Raw genomic sequence first — 24,301 nt, 5'->3', positions numbered from 1 at the left:
GAATTGATTAAGAGATGGAGCAAGAGCTTAGTAGGTTCATGTGTGAGTTCATGTCCAATTCACCCTTTTCTCCTTGTCTCCACCACCCAGCTATGGTCCCTTCTTGCCTCCAGTGTGCAGATGAGCAGCATTTAAAGAAAAAAATGATATGTGGCCCTGATCTTATACCGTTAATTCTGAGAAGAATCACCAAAGTTAAAAGATGCTTAATGAGACCTCGAGGATATTTACACTATGCTTTTTGTAAGAGGAGGAAGAAAAAACAAGATGAGCTATAGCACCATTGAGACACATCAGGAAGTACCAGGGAGTTCATAGTGTCCCTGCTGTTTCCAACTTTGCCTGGCAGGAGGGGTGACATGGAGTGTAGTAAATATCATCTGTCTCCTGTCTCCCAGCTCATATAGGGTACCAACATTCAGAAATAAGACATTTGACTCATATTCTCAGAAATATCAGCTGCAGGCTTGCTTCTAATATAATGCCTATTTCTCTTTCAGGCACTACTGCTCTTTCTTTCATTTGAAAAGTTATTGATTATCTTCTGTGTTCTTTGGCATTGCTCTATGTGTTGCGGGTGAAAAAATAAATAAGATATGGATCCAGAGATGAAAGTGCCTGACTCTGAATAGCAGCAGTCATCAGCCATCATAATCCCATCGTCCCTACTCTTTACCCCTGCAGATCAGTCATTTTGCTTTTGATAACTACCACTCATCTCAGGTACCAGACAGGTAAAAGGTGATCTGCACAATGAAATGAAATAACTTAATTAGGTAAGCTTCCCCTAACTCTGTAAAGAAAGAAATGCAAAGCCACGCGAGAAGAAAAAAAATAGTTCATTGAATTATAATCTTTCTTAAACCAACGGAAACAAATTAAAGAAATAACTTCAAGCACAGATACATCAAAGAAACACCAAGGGGACAAAGGCAAGGTTTTGAAACTCTGAAATCCAAGAAGCAATATTCTTTCATATTACATTTCTCTTAATTCCAATCAGCAGAATAATACAGTATGAAAGAATACAATTAGAAATTTCCATGTACTATTCAATAATTGAGTAAGCTGGGTTGTTTATTCAGGCATTGACTGCAAATTGTTTCTTAAGTGACAAAAATCCAAAGTTTGAGGAAGAATGTGCTGCAATGCCATAGATATCTTCAGCTGCAACCCATACTTTCTGCTGCATCTCACCTCATCATCAGTGGTGCATAGCGATTTCCTGGCTGCCATCTCAGGGAAGCTGGCTTGACAGAGATAAGTTATATTGGAATCTAACTGTCAGAGATAGAGAACACAGTGCATCTCAATGGCAACAACAACTCTAAAAGAAGAAAACACATGGAGTTATAGCTATTTATCTCAAAATTTTACAGGCCACCAAATCTAAAATTATCCAGTGACAAAGGGAAGTGATTATCTTTTACTAACTAGATTATTGAAAATGCTTTTGTTTGTAATTGATGCATCAAAATTTCTTCAGGATACTTGAGTATTCTACTTTGTTTTGAGAGATTCAATTCTGATTGCTTGCAAAACAAAGAAAGAAAACTTAAAATTTAAGCCCAACGATCTCACTTTTTGCTTTTTATTTCAAATACCACCTCAAACCAGATTATCTCACTTTTTAAAAAGATGACTTCACCAAGACCAACCATATCACAGAAAAGAAACTTAAAATGGAACAAATATTTGGGATAATGAAAAGAATGAGTTATTGGTAACATGAAAGTATAAAAATATATGTGAAATCTATTTAATATTTAACTATTTTAGAACTTACTGGTTTTGGTGGAAAATAAAACTAAAAATATACAGAAAGAAGCTATCATGAGAAAGCAATTCAATACACATAGCCATATCACAAATTTTGGAAAAGAGCCTGCTATCTTCCCATCACTACCAACCCACTCACATACCTATGGATTCAACAATTGGTATGTGTAGAATAGCACAATAATGAACATTTTAAATATAAATAATACTACAAAAATAAATAGTAGAAACATAAAGCAAAATAATCAGACAACATCAAATTTTCCTCTGTCTATTCTTTATTCATGCCTTCCCTTTCCTCCTTTAGGTTGGAACTATTCTTTGTAAAAGCATCTTGAGTAACAGGTGAATCAGGAACAATGACATAAATATCAATATTAATATTTTCATATTAATATTCACCAAAAAATAGCAATGAATTATCTAAAGTTATCTGGAGTCTTAGCAGAAGCATAGTATACAACAATTGCTTGTTAACTTTAATAGTCAATCCAAAACAGAAAATTTCAAAACATTGTTATATCATAATGAAATGTCTTTGATTTCAGAGGATATTAACCCCTCGAGCGACTCTAGTGGAAAACATTTCAAGTAATTTTTATGCACTGGTAATGAAAAAATACCCTATGAGTCCAAGGGAAAGCAGTTTTCATTCAATTTTTCTGAGGAAAATTCAGGTAACTAAAATCAGAGCATATTTTTCAAATAGGGAAAGTAATAAAAATGAAAATAGTGCACCTTCTTGGTTGACTAATGGTATAATTTCATTAATTTGTAAGCATTAATTGCTAAATTACTATGTGCCAAGAACATTCCTAAGAACTGGAGATTTAACAATAAGCAAGATACTTTGCCATCAAGTGATTTAGAGGGTAGTAAAAGGCACAGACGGGTACTTAGGAAACTACACTGAAAAATAAGGATGCTGCATACATAATGCTTTGGGAACACCATGGAGGATCACAAACCAACTTTACAGAATCAGGAGAGACTTCTCCTCAACTTTCACACTTAAGCTGAGACCTGAAGAAAGGGAGAGTTAAGAAGGTTTAAAAGCAGAAGAATCAGTCAATTTTCTCAATTAACAAATGCCAAGCACCACGATCCTCAGAGACAACGTGCAAAATAATAGAGTATATATAAACACTATTAGACATCTTAGTGTTTCCATATATTCAATAGCTGGGTACAGTGATGCTGAGTATGGTATGTGTACTTCATGAAATAGTTCATAGGCCTTAAAATAAAGATGAACTTTGTGAATTGTGTCCACTTAGGCAGGATTTGTATTTCCCAGAATTCCCTACCCCGCACAGTTTTAAGTTAGAGTGCCAGAAAAAGACATTTTGTATGAGATTGAGATTTGGAAGGTAAAGTGAAGTCACAGAAGGCATATTCTTTCTTCAAGAGGAAGGACAGAGCAGAGTTCTGCAAGTGTCATAGCTCCTGATTCTCCTCCTTGATCTGCTGGCTTCCTGTGTTGGCCTGGATCAGCAGCCAGGCCATAGCTCCTACAGTGCCTGGTAGTTCCCTTTCATCAGCTGCTTCACCTCCTGGGCCTGGAATGTGTTTTGCTTGAGGTGGCTGTCAACTTCTCTGTCCTGGTCATCCCTGTTATCAAAGTTGGAGGCTTGGAGGCCATCAGAAACCAGTGTGTGATCCAGTCCTGCCTCATAGGTCCCAGCTTATCCTTGTAGATTAGATTCCAGCTTACCCTTACCCCATCTGTACTTTACTACTATCCTTCCTTCTCAACTACTCACCCAGATGACTTCAGCCTCTTGCATCAGACACAGAGCAGTAGCTTCATATAGACTGTTTATCCTGCTTTCTCAATTGCATAAGATCACATCGTTGTAACTGGCTTCTCAATATATAAGATACATATAATATGGTTGAACTATATTATATATGGTTTATATATAATGTAAATATATGGTTTATATATAATATAGTATATTATATAATACATAAATATATTTATAGATCATATAAAGAACCAGATATATGTGTGTGCATATGTATATATGGTTCTTCTTCCTTGATTCAGCTCTGAATGCTGCAATGATGTTTATACATCCTGTATGATTATATTGAAAAAGGATTATGGCATAATATTACATTTTAAAAGCCTGTATGCAAAACTGATGTAAATTTTAATTTCAATAGGTTAAACATAAATGGATTTAAAATTCACCAAAATATTAATTGTGATATTGTTTGGATCAGTGGGACAATGTGTGAATTTTTGTCTTCCTTTTATCCTTCAGTGTTTTCAACTTTTAAAAAATGAGCATGCATTAATTTTATCATTTAGATCAGCAGAAAACATAGCCTTGCTTTTGTGACAATAAATCTTTAGAATAAAAAAAGACAGTCACCTAACCGTGTGATTTTAGGTGCTCTTAATGCAGATAAATGCATCCTTGGGGGCTTTCTAAATGCTGATATTAAAAAACATAGTAGTAGAAAAGGTTGTAAACAATCAGAGCTACATTTTCAATATGTTCTGCTAAGACTTAGTCACCAAACCTCATGAATGTTAATTTGAAAAACTGGGTCATATTCTTTCACATAATTTTATCTTTTTCTGTAATGAAAGTACAGATTTAAGAGACATTTAGTCCAATTTGTTAAAACTGTCTATTAAAAATATATAAATTAAAGCTCCTTGTAAATATATACACATCTGTCTTATGCCATATACCCGCGAACACACATGCATTCAAAGAAATTTCTACTTCCATACTTAATTCCAAATTTCGAATTCATGTAATAACCACTTAAAAAGCGTACATATATACCCACAATTTTTGATCTTTAAAGTCGATATTTTATTTAAATAATGATCCTAGCCTTTATAATCCTTTATATGGTTCTAGCATGTCATCATTTAGAAAGAATCTCCATGAAATCATGAGACAGACATTTTTGTTTTTCAGTCGTTGAAGACACTAAGGCCCAAAGGGATTAAAGAATGAGGTTTGGGTCTTCATCTTAATTTATCGCCATCATTATTGACTTTTTAAAACATCCTCACCTGATAATTTTCAAAAATGAGCTTCCTAGACTCCTTAAAAATTAGAGTGAGCATGTAAAAGCAACCATGAACAGTCAAACATCTGGCAACATATTGGTTTTATGCTGTCAGACAAACTTATTATTATAGTTATTTAATACATAGATGTAAATTATTCAACATGTTTAATGACAAACGAATTGGGACTTAAGCCTTTGTAAATCAAAAAATTATACATTAAGTATCCTTAGAAAATATGGACGGTAAAAATATTTAACTTTCTATCAGATTATGAGTATAAAACATATAAAAAAATTGACTTAATTATATTTTGCCAAAGAATTACTTTTTCAAATAGTCATTAATATACTGAGCTGTTAGTTTTAGTGTGAGAGTTTGGGAATATTCTTTTTAGGGAAGGACCAGAATACCTTTGTATGAGTGAGATACAACAACATCACAGTATGTCAATTTTTTTCAATTCAGTCACCTGGTGCAGGGGCCAGCCCATGGGCCAAATCCAGCCTACTACCTGTGTTTGTATGGTAGATGAGCTAAGAACTTTTTTTCCAAAGAGTTGAAAAAACACTTTAAAAATAATATTTATGACACATGAAAATTATATGATATTCAAAATTCAATACCCCTAAGTAAAGCTTTATTGAGACACAGCCCTATTCTTTTGTAATGTATTGTTTCTCACAGGAACAATGTAGGACAGAGTAACAGCTTCTCCAAGTCACAGGGTTCTTCTGTAGATAAGAGGCAAAAGTAAACTAGACATAAAAATGCTGCATTTAGTATTTCTGATAAAATCCAAAAATATTTTGTCTCATGGGAAAAAATGTTTCCACAAGACTTTTATTCACATGTGGAGGGGAAAAATACTCATTCACATATAATATATTTTACTTAGATTGTTAATCTTGAGGGTACAATGACGTGTTTTTATTGCGAAGTTAAATTGGATCCACTAGGCTTCCCATTCCTTCCAAATATTTGGAAATCTTTCTTTTCTACAGGCTAGAAATATGATAGCCCTTCCTACTCCAGCTTGTGACCCAGGTAAGATTGGAAAGGTGACACATTCTGAAGGTCCCTATGTAAAGCATGCCAAAGAAAAAGAAATAGATCAATGATAAGAAAATTACCCCTTTTGTAAGGTGCTGAGTGGACTGAAAACAACTATGAGTGCTTGGAACTGTGGTCATGACAACCAGTAAAGTCAATCTTAGTCAATGATACCAGTTTGAAGTGGTATCACTACTGAGCTGAAATAAAATGCTAAACTTGATGAATTCCTTTTTTCCATATATCAACAGTTATTTATTTATAATTCATTGCTATAGCTATTGTGTTATGTGGTTCCTCTCACATCATGGCTTTACAGAAGGTTCCAGACCAAACAATTACAAGTGGGTCAAAATTTTATGTAAGTACCTGGATTTTATTAAAAATGATTTCACAATTAATACTCCCAATTTATAACCCTTATTAGAATCGGGAAGATTTAAGCAAAGATGTAAGGAAATGGACATTTTGAGTCCTTACTTTCCTTGTCAGTATAAAGTTCATTAATAATAAGCAACTGCAATTGTGCTTGTATTGATACTTTTATTTCCAATTTAAAGATTGTTTTACATTTTTATTTTTTTAGAGACAGTGTCTCGCTCTTTTGCCTAGGTAGGGTGCAGTGGTTTGATCATAGCTCACGACAGCCTCAAACTCCTGTCTCAGCCTCCTGAGTAGTCATAGGTGCACACCACCATTCCTGCTAATTTTTAAAATTTTTGTAGAGACAGGGTCTCGTTGTGTTGTCCAGGTTGGTCTCAAACTCCTGGCCTCAAGCAATCTTCCTACTTCAACCTCCCAAAATACTGAGACTACAGGCATGAGCCCCTGCACTCAGCCCCATTTATTTTTTAAATGATGGTAAATGCATTTATGGATGATTGCCAACTCATCAAAATATGTTTTTTAGACACAGCATGGTGATAAATTATGACTTACTTTTTAATTTTTTGCTAATAATAGGTGCATTGTTTTAAGCAGTTTTTAAATGGTTAAAGTTGACGATAGGTACTAAGACTTATAGCTAATATTTTTGTAAGCTTACTATCTACTATACACTGTTAAGCATTTAATTTTCATTATCTCATTTATAACTTAAACAATCTTACAATCTAGGTACCATTATTATTCCCATTCTACATATGAGAAAACAGAGCCTCACAGAAGCTAGTTCAGTTTAATACTCTAATGCATATTAGAGGGAAAGTAATTAATAGATATTAGAGTCAAGATTGAAATTCGTGCTTGCCTGACCACCAAAATTGCATTTATCTACCATTATGCCATCCTGCTTCCCATGCATGGAGAAAAACAAGTTAGAAAAAATTACTCACATAGATTTATTCTACTATTTGTCTGTATATTCATAAATATCACCAATAGTTACAAGTCTGGCAGGGTAAGATGTTTTGTGAAAAGAAGAGAGGCTTTGGAATGAGGCTCACTGGGTTTTGATCCTGTAATCCTCAGCTTGTGTCCCATTTACCCATATGAGGTAAATCCTCCTAATTTACCAGGTGCTGTAAATTATGATACTTGCCCTCTGTAATGCCCACTTACTTCTCCATAAAATAGAGGTGATGTAACTTCCTTGAGGGTTTTTGTGTAAAATAAAATAATGTATGCACAGTAGCTAGCAAAAATAGGCACAAAGTAATTATTTTTCCTTCTGTTTTTATATTTTTCTACTGTGCATAACTTTCTGCGGAAAGGGTGAACTCATGTCTTAGTCATCCCTAAATCCCTAAATATGAACAACTCAGGTCCAACCTTAAATTTTGGCATAGTTTTTTGATATTTATCACAAGTTCATTAAGCACCATAGTAAAATTAGGGTTTCATTTTTTAAAAAATCACAAAAAATTGACCTGAAAATACTTTCAAGTGGTAAAGCTCAGCCCAACTCATCTGGATGTTTATTACAATCAGTAACAATTTCAGCAAAGGGAATCTTGAGGGAAAGAAACTCAGTGCAAGGACCTAAGGGCAAACTGATGTGCCAGACACATAGGGGAGTGGAAGGTAGGAAGAGTCAATGCAATCCTCAAAGAACTGTTCAAAATCAGCCCAGGGAAGAACACATACCTCTCCCATGCATTTCTGATGTTGAAGCATCTCCTTGTCCTGTATTGATGTGTTACTTTCCTGGATCTTGGAGTGGGAAGAATATCCTGATAACTTTCAATATCCTATGGGTGCCTGCACTCAAAATGAAAAACAAAATCCAAAATATTTCATATGAAGTTTATAATGGTAGTCAACTGTTTCATTGTCAAATGTAGTTTTAGATCTAGGAAATATTAAGGTTTACAACATAGCAAACAAATAGTAGTGTTGGAATTGATTGATTTTTAAATAATTATTTGAAATACTAAAAAAAGTGACTATGCAAAGGTGTAATGCTAATGTGAAAAAGGTAGATTTCAACATTAATTGTATTTTTAAAGATTTAAAATTAATCAGACATTCTGGCTAATATTGACACTGTTCAGATATTGGCCTTTGCAATAGCACGTATTCCAAACCAAGTAAATAATTTGATTTTTGTTAACATTTTTCATGGTGAAAGAAACTTAAATATTCCAAGAAATAAAGTCAATATTACTTATTAAAATAGTTAGGTTTCCTGAAATCTCCTTAGTTTTGTATTATAAATCCTTAGTTTTTTGGGAGGCTGAGGTGGGCAAATCACGAGTTCAGGAGTTTGAGACTAGCCTGGCCAACATGGTGAAACCCTGTCTCTACTAAAAATACAAAAAATTAGCTGGACGTGGTGGCTGGCTCCTGTAATCCCAGCTACTCGGAAGGCTGAGGCAGGAGGATCTCTTTAATACAGGAAATGGAGATTGCAGTGAGCTGAGATTGCACCACTGCATTCCAGCCCAGGCAACAGTACGAGACTCCGTCTCAAAAAAAAAAAAAGAAAAAAAAAGTAATCCTTACTTTTATATTAAAATTTTTTATCTAAGAAGGCATTTAAAATAAGTATTTATGACTTACTGGCTTTTTAATTACAATGTCTTAAAAGAGAGAAAGGAGGGGTCAGGGCCAAGAAGGCTGACTAGAAGCAGCTACCTTGTGCAGCACTCAGGAGAGGAATGAAAGGGGCAGGTAAATACAGCATCTTTAACTGAAATATCCAGGTACTCACATTGGAACTGATCAGGGAAACAACTCAATCCATGCAGAACAGAGAAAAGCAGGGCAGGGCGCCTGCCCACCCAGGAGTGACACTGAGCCAAGGGAACCCCCACCCCTAACCAAGGAAAGCTGTGGGCAGAAACCCTATAAGTCAGAAGAGATTTGGGGCCAACATTCAACATTCTTAAAGAAAAGAAATTCCAACTAAGAGTTTTATATCCAGACGATCTAAGCTTCATTAGCAAAGGAGAAATAAGATCCTCAAGCAAATGCTGAGGAAATTTGTTACCACCAGCCCTGCCTTACAAGAGTTCCTGAAGGAAGCACTAAATATGGAAAGGAAAACCTATTACCAGCCACTGCAAAAACACACTGAAGTACACAGACCAGTGACACTATGAAGCACCCACATAAACAAGTCTGCAAAATAACCAGCTAGCATTATGATGACAGGATTAAATCCACAAATAGAAATACTAACATTAAATGTAAATGGGCTAAATGCCCCAATTAAAAGACGTAGAGTGGCGAGCTGGATAAAGAACCATGACCCACTGGTATACTAACTTTAAGAGATGCAGCTCACATCGCAAAGACACACATAGACTCAAAATAAAGGGATGGAGGAAAATTTACCAGGCAAATGAAAAACCAAAAAAAGCAGGGGTTGCAATCCTAGTTACTGGCAAAACAGACTTTAACAAAGATAAAAAAGGACAAAGGGGGCACTACATAATGGTAAAGGGTTCAATTCAAAGAGAAGATCTAACTATCCTAAATATATTTGCATCCAATCTAGGAACACTCAGATTTATAAAGCAAGTTCTTAGAGACCTTCAGAGACTTAGACTTCCACACAATAATAGTGGGAGACTGTATTAGTCGGTTTTCACACAGCTATAAAGATACTATCTGAGATTCGGTAATTTATAGAGAAAGGAGGGTTTATTGACTCACATTTCCATATGGCTGAGGAGGCCACAGGAAAATTACAATCATGGCAGAAGGTAAATGGGAAGCAAGGTACATTTTACATGGTGGAGGAGAGACAGAGAGTGCAGGGGAAATGCTAGACATTTATTGAACAACCAGATCTTGTCAGAACACCCTCACTATCATGGGAACATCATGAGGAAAACTGCCTCCATCATCCAATCACCTCCCACCAGTTCCCTCTCTCAACATGTGGGGATTACAATTTGAGATGAGATTTGGGTGGGGACACAGAGCCAAACCATATCATTCTGCCCCTGGCCCCTCCAAAATCTCATGTCCTTTTCACATTTAAAAATCAATAATGCCTTCTCAACAGTTCCCCAAAGTCTTAACTCATTCCATTATTAACTCAAAAGTCCAAGTCCAAACTCTTATCTGAGACAAGTCAAGTCCCTTCTGCCTATGAGCCTGTAAAGTCAAAATCAAGTTAGTTACCTCCAAGATACAATGAGGGTACAGCCAATGGGTAAATGTTTCCATTCCAAATGGGAGAAATCAAGTAAAGTCAAAATCAAGTTAGTTACCTCCAAGATACAATGAGGGTACAGCCAATGGGTAAATATTTCCATTCCAAATGGGAGAAATTGGCCAAAAAAAAAAGGGGTCACAGGCCCCACAGAAGTCTGAAATCCTGCTGGGCAGTCATTAAATCTTAAAGCTTCAACATTTCCTTTGACTCCATGTCTCACATCCAGGGCACACTGATGCAAGTGAGTAGGCTTCCACAGCCCTGGGCAGCTCTGTCCCTGTGGTTTAGCAGGGTACACCCCCTGCAGCTGCTTCGATGTGCTGAAGTTGAGTGCCTGTGGCTTTTCGAGGTGCACAGTGGAGGTTGTTTGTGGATCTATCATTCTGGGGTCTGGAAGACGGTGGCCCTCTTCTCACAGCTCCATTAGGCAGTGCCCAGTGGGACTCTGTGTGGGAATTCTGACCCCACATTTCCCTTCCATGCTGTCCTAGCAGAGGTTCTACAAGGGGGCTCTGCCCCTGCAGCAGACTTCTGCCTGGATATCAGGGCATTTCCATACATCTTCTGAAATCTAGGCAGAAGGTTCCCAAAGCTCAACTATTGTCTTCTGCACACCGGCAGACCCAACATCATGTGGAAGCCACTGAGCCGTGGGGCCCGCAATCTCTGAAGCAATGACCTGAGCTGTACATTGGCCCCTTTTAGCCAAGGCTGGAGCTAAAGCAGCTAGGATGCAGGGCACCAAGTCCCTAAGCTGCACAGAGCAGTGAAGCTGTGGGCGCAGTCCACAAAACTATTTTTCCCTCCTAGGCTTCTAAGTCTGTGATGGAAGGGGCTGCTTTAAAGATCTCTGATATTCCCTGGAGACATTTTCCCCATTATCTTGGCTATTACCATTTGGCTCCTCATTGCTTGTGCAAATTTCTGCAACCAGCTTGAATTTCTCCCCAGAAAATGGGTTTTTCTTTTTGACCACATAGTCAAGCTGAAAATTTCCCAAACTTTTATGATCTGCTTGCTTTTAAACTTAAGTTCTAATTTTAAACCATCTCTCTCAAGTTCAAAATTCAACAGATCTCTAGGGCAGGGGCAAAATGCTACCAGTCTCTTTGCTAAAGCATAGCAATAATGACCTTTGTTCCAGTTCCCAATAAGTTCCTTATCTCCATCTGAGACCACCTCAGCCTGGACTTCATTGTCCATATCACTATCAGCATTTTGGTCAAAACCGTTCAACAAGGCTCTAGGAAGTTCCAAACTTTCCCTCATCTTCCTGTCTTCTTCTGAGCCCTCCAAACTATTCCAACCACTGACTGTTATCCAGTTTCAAAGTTGCTTCCACATTTTCAGGTTATCATTATAGCAATGCCCCACTATCTTGGTACCAATTGTCTGTATTAATTCATTATTATACTGCTATAAAAATACTATCTGAGACTGACTAATTTATAAAGAAAGAGGCTTAATTGAATCACAGTTCTTTATAAATCACTAATTTATAAAGAAAGGAGACTGGGGGGGCCTCAGGAAAATTACAGTCATGGCAAAAGTTGACTGGGAAGCAAGGCACATTTTATATGGTGGCAGGAGAGAGTGCAAAGGGGAAAGTGCCACTTTTAAAATCCTCAGATCTCATGAGAACTCCTACACTATCATGAGAAAGCATGGAGGAAACTGCCCTCATGATCCAGTCACCTCCCACCAAGTTCTTCCCTTGACGTGTGGAAATTACAATTCGAGATGAAATTTGGATGGGGAAACAATCAAACCGTATCAGAGACTTTAACACCCAACTGACAATATTATATCATCAAGACAGAAAATTAACAAATACATTCCAGCACCTGAACTTGGCTCTGGATCAAGTGTACCTGATAGAATCTACAGAAATCTCCACCCTAAAACCAAGAATATACATTCTTCTTATTGCCACATGGCATTTACTCTAAATTTGATCACAGAATCGGAAGTAAAACACTCCTCGGCAAATGCAAAATAACTGAAATAATAACAGACAGCCTCTTGGACCACAGCACAACCAAATTGGAACTCAAGATTAAGAAATTCACTCAAAATGTTAGAACAACATGGAAATTGAACAACTTGCTCCTGAATGACTTTTGGGTAAGTAATGAAATTAAGGAAGAATCAAGTTCTTTGAAATGAATAAGAACAAAGAGGCAATGTACCAGAATATCTGGGACACAGCTAACATTGTGTTAAGAGGGAAATTTATTGCACTAAATGCCCACATCAAAAAGCTAGAAGTATCTCAAGTTAACAACCTAGCATTACAACTAAAAGGACTAGAGAACAAAGAGCAAGAAAACTCCAAAGCTAGCAGAAGATAAGCAATAACCAAGATCAGAACTGAACTGAAGGAGATAGACACAAAAATAGCCCTTCAAAAGATCAATGAATCCAGGAGCTGGTTTTTGAAAAAATTAATAAAATAGACTGCTGGCTAGACTAATAAAAGAAGAAAAGAGAGAAGCTTCAAATAAACACAATCAGAAATAATAAGGGAGATATTACCATTGACCTTACAGAAATACAAACAACCATCAGGTAATATTATAAACACCACTATGCACATAAACTGGAAAATCTAGAAGAAATGGATAAATACCTGGACACATACACCCTCCCAATACTGAACTAGGAAGAAATTGAATACCTGAATAGACCAATGATGAGTTCTAAAATTGAGGCAGTAAAATAGTCTACCAACCAAAAAAAGCCCAGGACCAGACAGATTCACAGCTGAATTCCACTAGAGGTACAAAGAAGAGCTGATAGCATTCCTACTGAAACGGTTCCAAAAATTTCAGTAGGAGGGACTCCTCCCTAACTCATTCTATGAGGCGAGCATCATCCTGACACTAAAACCTGGCAGAGATACAATAAAAAAAGAAAACCTCAGGTGAATATCCTTGATGAATATCAGTGCAAAAATCCTCAACTAAATACTGGCAAACCAAATCCAGAAACACATCAAAAGCTTATCCATTGCAATCAAGTAGGCTTCATCCCCAGAATGCCATGTTGGTTCAAAATATGCAAATCAACAAATGTGATTCATCACATAAACAGAACTAAGACAAAAACCTCATGATTATCTCAATAGATGCAGAAAAGACCACTGATAAAATTCAACATCCCTTCATGTTAAGAACTCTCAATGAACTAGGTATTGAAGGAACATACCTCAAAATAATGAGCCATATATGACAAACCCACAGCCAATATCATACTGAATGGGCAAAAGCTGGAAGCATTCCCCTTGAAAACCAGCACAAGGCAAGGATGTCCTCTCTCACCACTCCTATTCAAAATAGTATTGGAACTTCTGGCCAAGGAAATTATGCAAGAGAAAGAAATAAAGGGTATTCAGTTAGGAAGTGAGGAAGTAAAATTATCTTAGTTTGAAGATGATATAATCCTGTATCTAGAAAACCCCATCATCTCGCCCCAAAAGCTTTTTAAGCTTATAAGCAACTTCAAAAAGTCTCAGGATACAAAATCAATGTGTAAAAATCACCAGCATTTTCTTATACACCAACATCAGGCAAGCTGAGAGCCAACTCACAAATGTATTCCCGTTCACGACTGCCACAGAAAGAATAAAATACCTAGGAATACAGCTAACAAGGGAAGTGAAAGACTTATTCAAGGAGAACTATAAACCACTGCTAAAAGAAATCAGAAATGACACAAACAAGTGGAGAATCATTCCATGCTCATGGGTAGGAAGAATCAATATCATTAAAATGGCCATACTGCCCAGAGCAATTTATAGATTCAGTGGTATTCCTATCAAACCACCAATGACATTCTTCACAGAGCTAGAAAAAACTATTTTAAAATTCGTATAGAACCAAAATAGGGCACAAATGGGAAAGGCAATTCTAAGTAAAAAGAACAAAGCTGGAGGCGCCACACTACCTGATTTCAAACTATACTACAAGGCTAAAGTAATTAAAACAGCATGGTACTGGCACAAGAACAGACACATAGACCAATGGAGTGGAATAGAATAGACAACCCATAAATAAGACCACACACTTACAACCATCTGCTCTTTGACAAACCTGACAAAAACAAGTAATGGGGAAAGGATTCTCTATTTAATATACGGTGCTAGGAGAACTGGCTAGCCATATGGAGAAAATTGAAACTGGACCCCTTCCTTACACCATATAAAAAAATCAACTCAAGATGCATTCAAGACTTAAATGTAAAACTCAAAACTATAAAAACCCTAGAAGAAAATCTAGGCAATACCATTCATGAGATAGGCACTGGCGAAGATTTCATGATAAAGATGCCAAAGGCAAATGGAACAAAAGCAAAAATTGACAAATGAGATCTAATTAAACTAAAGAGCTTCTGCACAGCAAAAGAAACTGTCAACAGTGTGAACAGATAACCTACAGAATGGGAGAAAATTTTTGCAATCCATCCATCTGACAAAGGTCTAATGTCCAGAATCTACAAGGAACTTAAACAAATTTTTTTAAAAAAGACCTCATTAAAAAGCAGATAAAGGTCATGAACAGATACTTTTCAAAAGAAGACATACAAGTGGCCAAAAAACATATGGAAAAAAAAAACTCAGCATCACTGATCATTAGAGAAATGCAAATCAAAACCACAATGAGATACCATCTCACACCAGTCAGAAAGACTTTTATTAAAAAGTCATAAATAACAGATGCTGGTGAGGTTGTGGAGAAAAGGGAATGCTTTCACACTGTTGGTGGAAGTGTACATTAGTTCAATCATTGTGGAAGACAGTGTGGCAATTCCTCAAAGACCTAGAGACAGAAATATCATTCAACCCAGCAATACCATTACTAGGTATGGGAATATAAATAATTCTATTATAAAGATGCATGCATATGTATGTTCATTGCAGCACTATTCACAATAGCAAAGGCATGGAATAAGCCTAGATCCCCATAAATGATAGAATGGATAAAGAAAATGTGGTACACATATATCATGGAATATTATGCAGCCATAAAAAGGAATGAGATCATGTCTTTTTCAGGGACATGAATGGAGCTGGAGATCATTATCCTTAACAAACTAATGCAGGAACAGAAAACCAAATACCACACATTCTCACTTACAAGTGGGAGCTAAATTATGAGAACACATGGATGCATGTGTTCAACACACACTAGGGCTGTTGAAGATGGGGGGTGAGAGGGAGGAGGGAGAAGATCAGGAAAAATAGCTAGTGGATTCTGGGCTTAATACCTGAATGATGGGATAATCTGTGCAGCAAAGCATCACGGCACAGTTTTACCTATGTAACAAACTTGCACATCCTGCACATGTACCCCTAAACTTAAAATAAAAGTTGGAAATAAAAAATAGAAACGGAAAGAAAATACATTCTAAATCTTATATGTGTACACTTGACAGTATACATATATATAAATATATACAATGAAAGGGGAAAACATTCCAAATTATATGTATATGTACATGTTATAGGTATACACACATATTTTATACATATTTATGTACATGTTTGCACATCTCTGCATGTGTATGTGTGTACAGACACATAGGTTTTCTGATGGGATGAATTTGTAAAATGATAGTTAAATATTCTTAGAGAAAGAAACAGTCATTTGTTAACTAAAATTATAAAATTTATTACCTTTATGATTATTTTGTATCTTTTTTATATTTAAAAAGTGGATGTAAGCAATCACTAACAAGAAAGACCATGGGATCCTCTGAAAATTGTACAGACTTTAGAATTAAATAAACTGGGTCATACTGCTTTCTTTAGCTTCCTACATCTGTGAACCTGACCTTGACCATGTAGCTTGACTTATTTCTCTCTCCCTCTCTTTTTTTCTTCTCTTATCCTCTCTCTCTCTCATGTAAAATTCTTTGAAGAGAAAATGAGAGAAGGTTTATGAAATGCCTAGCACACAAAAGGCACCAAATACCAAATGCTTATAAAATTATATGTTCTCAAATTTAAATGTGTACAATAAACTAGAGATCTTGTTATGCAGGGTTTTTTTTGTTTTTGTTTTTGTTTTTGTTTTTGTTTTGCAGAAGATCTGGAATAAAGTCTGAGTTGCTGAATTTAAAAAAATTATATGTGAGGGTGCTTTTTCCCTAGGGCCCTTGATGAAGCTAGAATAGAAGATGGAAAGGCAAAGGCAAGGAAGCAAAACATAGGGTCTGATCCTCATTAACCAGAGGAAAAGCTAGGTGAATCATATATGAAGCAAGGAGTGAGATTACAGATTTACATCATATCAATAACTATATTGAATGTAAAGGTATGAAATGTCCCAAATTAAAAGAATACAATATCACTGTGTCATAGTGATACAATAATAAAACTCAGCCCTGTGTTACTTATAAGAAGGTTGGCAAGGATATGAGTGATGGAAACTCTCCTACCCTGTAGTAGGAGTGTAAAATTAAACAACCAATGTTGCAATATGGTTTGGTATTATGTTTTAAAACTGAATCTAAACCTGCACTGTGAAGCAGCAAATCCCATTTCCTAGTATATACCAACAAAAATGTGAGTAGACACTTATTCATGGAGCCAAACACTAGGGAAAAACAGACTATGATATTAGAAATCATTATCATGTGTACCTTGGAGACAGTTAAATGAGAATACTTTCTTCATGATGAATTATTGAGATGTATATTCACAGTGTTTTCTTTTTCTACATGTCTGTTATTCTTCAATGAAACAACTTCAGAAATAGAACATAATGATTAAACTGATGGCTTCATCAAATAATGCAGAAATAAGGTAAAAATAGTATTGGTAAGTCAGGGCCTATATTTTGAGTTGCCTGGTGAGAGTGGGGGTGGTGATTCTTCTTTGTTTTATTTAGTTTCTTTTGTTTCCAAACAGAGATTCTCTTGCCCAAATCAACATAACACATATGGACAAGAGTTAAATTGGGTTAAAGGTATGGAGGATGGCTCTATGCAGCTATGCTTTGTTTGTTTAGAGCTACGTGATTTGGAGGAATGAAGTGATGAGCTAGATCTCATTAGTAGTACACTAAAACCAAAAGAGCTAAATAGGCTGGACAGTAATTACCAATGAGTGTACACCTGGTCAGCGGTATTATACGTATCGCATATGTCTAGCATATTGAAAAGCTACATATAAGGCTGGCCCCATGTTACAGGAACACCTGTAAAGCATGCATTGCAAGGAGAAATATTTTCACATGAGCACTTAAAATGAGAACTCATATATACTTAATTTTTTGGCATGAATAAATCATGTACTTAAAAAGTTAAATCGTTTTATTTTATTGAAAAAGGTACTTTTAACTATCTGTTTTAAAAACCAGATCTTTTTCCTACAGAAATATTTTAGCTCCTCTTTTACAGAAATAGGCATGTCACTTTTATTTTAAATATGTATCTGTTCCCATAGCATTCCACAAAAAGCCTCCGGCTTACAGATGCTCTTAATAAACCTTAAATGGCTATTTCACTGCTGAAAACCATTAAAATGTTCACTCCTTAAAACAGAAAACAGAAAAAAAAAAGCTGTGAAATCTGTGACCACTAATAAGGATCTCACCAACAGTCATTGCAGAGTTAGCACAAATCTTTGAGTTAAGAAGTTACATGTGCAGAGTGGCCCAATGCTTACACAAAGTCAGAACTTCCTGGTCTTCTTCTCATGCCACCCCACTTAAGAAATGTACATTGGTTTTAAAACCCCGTAGGTCATGGATTCAATTCTCTGGGTTTAAACTATTAATCTAATAGTTACTTTGGTCTTGGGGAAATCATTTAACTTTATATCTTTGGGTTCTTTCACCTTTAAAATAAAAATACATATCTTAAAATTCATTGTGAAATTTAAATAAGAGAATTCATAAAAAGTATTTAATACAGAGTCTGGCACTTAGTAAATGCTAAATAAAATGTTGACTGTTATTATGCTTTTATTATCTTATCTTTCTCTATGGATTGTTATTTTGTGGCAGGTTCAATTCACCAAAATTGGTATTTTATTCTGCACTTGTAGATTAACAAAATCTTTGAATACTTTTCCCGAATTGGATATTTCAACTTATCAATTAAGATATGTCAGTTGTTTGGCTGATAAGCAAATCAATATTTCCCTGAACTGCACATTCTGATAAGATGAGCACTGTGTTACAGAGTTTGCCTTCATTTATTCATTATTAATAGATTATTACCATAAATGACAAGGAATTTAGGAATAAAAATAGCATCAATTATATTCAAAGGATCTTGCAATCTAGAGGGAGAATCAAAATGCTGAACTGAATTAATGGGGGTTGTATGGTGATTCAAACTGATTCAAAAACTGTAAATAGTATCCGATGAGTCTCCCATTTTACGGATGCAGAAAGAGAATCTAAAAGTAAAACACATTATTCACAAAAGCCCTCTTGATCCTTCTGTAAAATCCATGGTCCCTCTGCTTCTGATTGCCAGAACTCTCCTCCTGACTTGGTTTTTTAGCTTTTGCAACTACCTCAAGCCTACATCCTGCTTTGGAGCTATGGTATAGACAGCATTTGCTACTTTTGCTTATTCAGCATCTATTTCTCTTACTTTCTGGCAATGGCTTCCATTATAATGAAAAAGTAGAAATGTAAATTGCCTAAAAATCTAGTCAGAAAAGGAAGCCAACTAAAGTGACTCAGTTTCCAAAGTATAATTGGAACTTCTATATTAATTATTTTTTATGTTAATAGAATATTTTATTGTGGTAAAGTATACATAACATAATATATACTATTTTAATCATTTAAGTGCACAGTTCTATGGCAAGAAGTATGTTTACATTGTTGTGCAACCATTACCACTTTGTAACTTTTTTATCTTCCCCCGTGAAAACTCTGTACCCATTAAACACTAGTTTTCCCTTCCTTCCCCTTCCCTCAAGCATTCTACATTCTGCATTCTGTCTCTATGAATTTGATTACTCTAGGTACCTGATATAACTGAAGTATTATAGTAAATGTCCTTTTGTGACTGGCTTATTTTACTTAGGATGTCTTCAGGGTTCACCCATGTTGTAGCATCTGTCATAATTTACTTACTTTTAAAGACTGAATATTGTATATACATCACATTTTGTTCCACTGCATATACATTACATTTTGTTTTTTCATTCATCTCTCAATGAACATTTGGGTTGCTTCCACATTTCGGTTATTGTGAATAATGCTCCTATGAACCTTGGTCTACAAATATCTGTTTGAATCTCTGCCTGTATTTATTTTGAGTATACACCGAGACGTAGAATTGCTAGATCATGTGGTAATTCTATATACCACTTTTTTATGAATTGCCAATCCATTTTCCACAGTGGCTGTGCCATTTTATATTACTCCCAGCAGTGCGCAAGGGTTCCAATTTCTCCCCATCCTCACCAACACTTTTTTCTTCTTTTTTTACAATAACCATCCTAATGTGTATCTAATAAAATATTTTCAGTGCAGGCAGAGACACAGTGTAATTTTTACATCAGATATGTAGATATAGAATATACATGCATGATGACATAAATATAACAAAAATCAGTAAATCTACTTACTACTTTATATTATATGCTAATGTTTTGACATGTTTATGATTTGGTGTTTGGTTGCTAATGTTATTTTATATATTTGATCTTATTTTTCATTAAAGGTATAAAATAGAGTCATAGTCCCTTTCTTATTTCATGGAATGCTAGAACAAGACAGACCTTCAAATGTATCTCTTGCTAATCCAATATGTTCACCTTACAAATCTGTGGTTTTTAAATACCTGGGACAAGAAAAGGTGGCAGCAAAAAGAGGCTTCTTAGTCTTCTCCTTGGGGCTTTTGCTCTTTACCATGACTGACTCTGAACATTTACAACACATAATTAAGTACAGATGGAGGTATGTAGGTTCGAGAATAAAGAAAACAAATCTAATTTTGTTCACGTGTTATTTTGCAAATATTTCTATCAACAGAAAGAAAAACTTAATGTGTAATGAGATCTTTACCTTCATGGAACACACAGGCATAAACCTGAAATTTGGAATGCTTGCAGCTGTGCAGAAGTTCATGGAGGTAATGCACATCCAATTGGCTTGAAAGGTTTTTATTAAAATACTGACTGGACTCATCTATGAGGCTGTGGCTATAACACAAGTAAGAGTAAGATTCCTGAGATCAATCCCATTATAACATAGATTTTAGTTCATAAATTCGCAACTCTTTTTTAGACCACCCCCCAAAGGTTGTCTTTCATTTTCTCACTAAATTCACTGCAGTGACACTAAACCACCCCATTCATCTATCACCTGTCTCACCACTGATATGATAAACCTCCACTTCCCTTCTGAGACTTTGACACATGGTAGACCTCCCTTTTCCACAATTATAATGTTCTTTTGGACTCTTATGATTAGAATTTCTGATTATGCCCAATCTATGCAGCAAAACCCACATAACAACATACTAACTATTTTTAACCTCATTATAAATGGGACCTGCTTTAAGAAATGACTTTAAATGGGCATCATCTTGGAAAGGCAATGCCACATTCTTTTGATGTTGACAACACACTGTTCCCTTTTCCAGATCATGCCCATTTATATTAAAAAGTTGTTTTAACCCCAGAAAGGTAGACTTGTCTTTGAAATGCTGTTTGCCTTGAAATCTAAAAGGCTTCATAAAGCTTCCCTAGGGTTATTCTATACGTGTCTTGATTCTAAAACACCAAATATGGTGATTATAGCAATCCACATTCAAAATTTAGAGATTAAGTAAAAATGTGGTTTTCTACAGGGAAATAATGTCAACTTGAAATATAAGTTATTTGTCTCTTATATTTTATGAGAAAAACAAAGGTTACCTCAGTCTTGAGGACCTAAGTGCACATGCTGGTAACAAGGCCAATAAAAGAATAGAGGAGAATGGGATGTTTGGTCTCAAAATGATAGTTTTCCCCAAGTACTATAAGTTTTTATTTATTTTTATTGTTTTTATATAACTTGTTTGTATGACTGCTGTCTGCTCTATTACATTTTTTATAGAAATATTTCACCTTAACTAATGTGAATATCCTAGAGAAAAAAATAAATGATAATGCTAATAAGCATCATGCCAGAATTCTACAAAGTACATTTGTGACTCTATGTTTAAACCAGCGTTAAGACTGAATATAGATACTCCAATTGACTTGATTGTAATCCATATTCAGAAGTACTTTTAAAGTATTACATTACTAAAACAAAGATAATTTTAAAAAGAAACACCTTTTAATTTCTTGAAGAGATCAAGTTGCTTTACTTAAACAAGGTGGTTTTCTCTGCCCACAGGAAAAAGAGCCTGTTATTTGAAATGTATCTATTTTACAAGAAAGATCCTTTCCCTAGCCTTGAACCCATAGTACTAACCAACATTCAATTTCCTTGAAGATAAAGATTCTTAATATTTGAGAATAGTCCCTGACCTATACTAATCAGAATATCTGAAGTAATCAATGCTAGATGAAGGAAAAAGACAAAAAAAATCCCACTTTTTCTCAAAATCCCCAGATTGTAAGTACACGTTAAGAAGCGCTCTCATACACACAGGACACAGCTGATTATAGAACAGTGCCTTCAAAGCGTCATTGCTAATCACAGAAAGGCTCTCACAGACCAGGTAAGACAGAACCAGAAATATAACTCTAGAACTACGGAGACTAAGCATGTTGTGAGACATTAGGATACGCAAGTCAATGACACATTCTCTGCTCTCATGGATCTTACAGTCTTGCAGTATTGCACTAGGTTTGGAAAGTCTAGGGCATTTGGAGATATTTGTACCTAGAATCATGATCCTGGGTCAGAAATATCATTAAATAAATATCATGCCTCACATGCTAGTCTCATTGCAGTCATGGTGAATTATGAATCATGCCTCTGAAAACACATATACATTTACATCTTCATGCTTTTAAACATGATTTTATATAACATACTACTTTTATCTCATCTTACCCACCTAATTATCCTTTAAAGCAAAGCTAATTATATGTTCAGCATTGTAAAGAACCTAGTAATTGCAATCATCATATTATATCCTAATTACAAGTAATACTTCTCTGTGATCCTCTCCTTTAAAAATTGTCTGCCCATGAAAACAGACATGTAGACTAATAGAACAGAATAGATAGCCCAGAAATAAATCTACACATTTATGGTCAATTGATGTTCTATAAAGGTGCCAATAATGCACAATGTGGGAAAAAGGCAGTCTCCTCAACAAATAGTGTTGGGGAAACTGGCTATCCACAATGCAGAAGGATAAAGTTGGACCTTTATCTCATGTTATTAGTATATACAAAAATAAATTCAAACGGATTAAAGACTTAAGTGTAGGACCTAAAACTCCTGGAAAAAAACATAAGGAAAAGTTTCTTGTCATTGGTCTGAGTAATGATTTTTCTTAATACAACCCCAAAAGCACAGGCAACAAAACCAAAAATAGACAAGAAGGACTGCATCAAATTAAAAGCATCTGCATTGCAAAGGAAGGAATGAACAGAATGAAGAGGCAACCTATAGAATGGAAGAAAAGGTTTACAAACCACATATGTGCTATGAAGTTAATATTCAAAATAGAGAAATAACTCAAACAACTCAATAGCAAGAAAATAACTAACTCAATTAGAAAATGGCCAAAGGACCTGAATAGACATTTCTCAAAAGAAGACATAGAAATAGCCAATAAATATTAATATATGAAAAATGCTTACCATCATTAATTATGATGGAAACGCAAATCAAAACTACAATCAGGCTGGGTGCAGTGGCTCACGTTTGTAACCACAGCACTTTGGGAGGCCAAGGTGGGCACATCACCTGAGGTCAGGAGTTTGCCCGGCCATTTCAAACCCCGTCTCTATTAAAATTACAAAAAAATTAGCCAGGAATGGTGGCATGTGTCTGTAGTCCCAGTTACTCGGGAGGCTGAGGCATGAGAATCGCTTGAACATAGGAGGTGGAGGTTGCTGTGAGCCAAGGTTGCACCACTGCACTCCAGCCTGGGCAACAAAATGAGACGCAGCCTAAAAAGAAACAAAAAAGAAACTACAATCAGATTTCACCTCACAGGCTGGAAGCGGTGGATCATGCTTGTAATCCCAGCACTTTGGGAAGCCAATGTGGGCAGATCACTTGAGGCCAGGAGGTCAAGACCAGCCTGGGCAATGTAGCAAAACCTTATCTCTACTAAACTTGCAAAAATTAGCCAGGCGTGGTGGTGCAGGCCTGTAATCCCAGCTACTCGGGAGGCTGAGGCATGAGAGTTGCTGGAACCCGGAAGCTCGAGGTTTCAGTGAGCCAAAATTGTGCCACTGCATTCCAGCCTGGGTGACAGAACAAGACTCTGTCTCAAAAAAACAAACCAAACAAAAATATCACCTCACACCTGTTGAATGGCTACTGCCAATAAGATGAAAGACAAGTGTTGGCAAGGATGTGGAGAAAACTCTTGCACACTCGTAGTGAGAGTATACATGAGCACAGCTATTATGAAAACAGTATGGAAGTTCCCCCCAAAATTAAAAAGAGGACTACCATATGATCCAGTAATTCCATTTCTAGGTACATATCTAAAGGAAATGAAATCAGGATGTCAAAGACTATCTGGACTCCCATGTTTATTGCAGCATTATTCACAATACTAAGATGTGGAATAATCCATCTCCATCAATTAATTAATGGATGAAGAACACAATGGAATACTATTCAGCCTTAAAAAAAGAAGGAAATTCTGTCATCTGTGACAACATAGAAGATCCT

At 35.8% G+C, this 24,301-nt stretch overlaps 1 long non-coding RNA gene across 1 annotated transcript in view; it reads right to left on the bottom strand.

Moving 5' to 3' along the window:
- LOC107986841 (uncharacterized) overlaps positions 1–24,301 on the bottom strand; it is a 66,127-nt gene that overhangs the window by 38,870 nt on the left and 2,956 nt on the right. The window contains exon 2 of the long non-coding RNA XR_002956584.2: positions 7,955–8,068. This is a non-coding gene — a long non-coding RNA (uncharacterized LOC107986841). The remainder of the gene's footprint in view (positions 1–7,954; positions 8,069–24,301) is intronic.

The sequence above is a fragment of the Homo sapiens genome, chromosome 7, assembly GCF_000001405.40.
Source record: "Homo sapiens chromosome 7, GRCh38.p14 Primary Assembly".
Lineage (NCBI taxonomy): Eukaryota > Metazoa > Chordata > Mammalia > Primates > Hominidae > Homo > Homo sapiens.
Note: the sequence above shows the minus strand (reverse complement) of the source record. Positions and strands in the feature narration are given on the sequence as shown.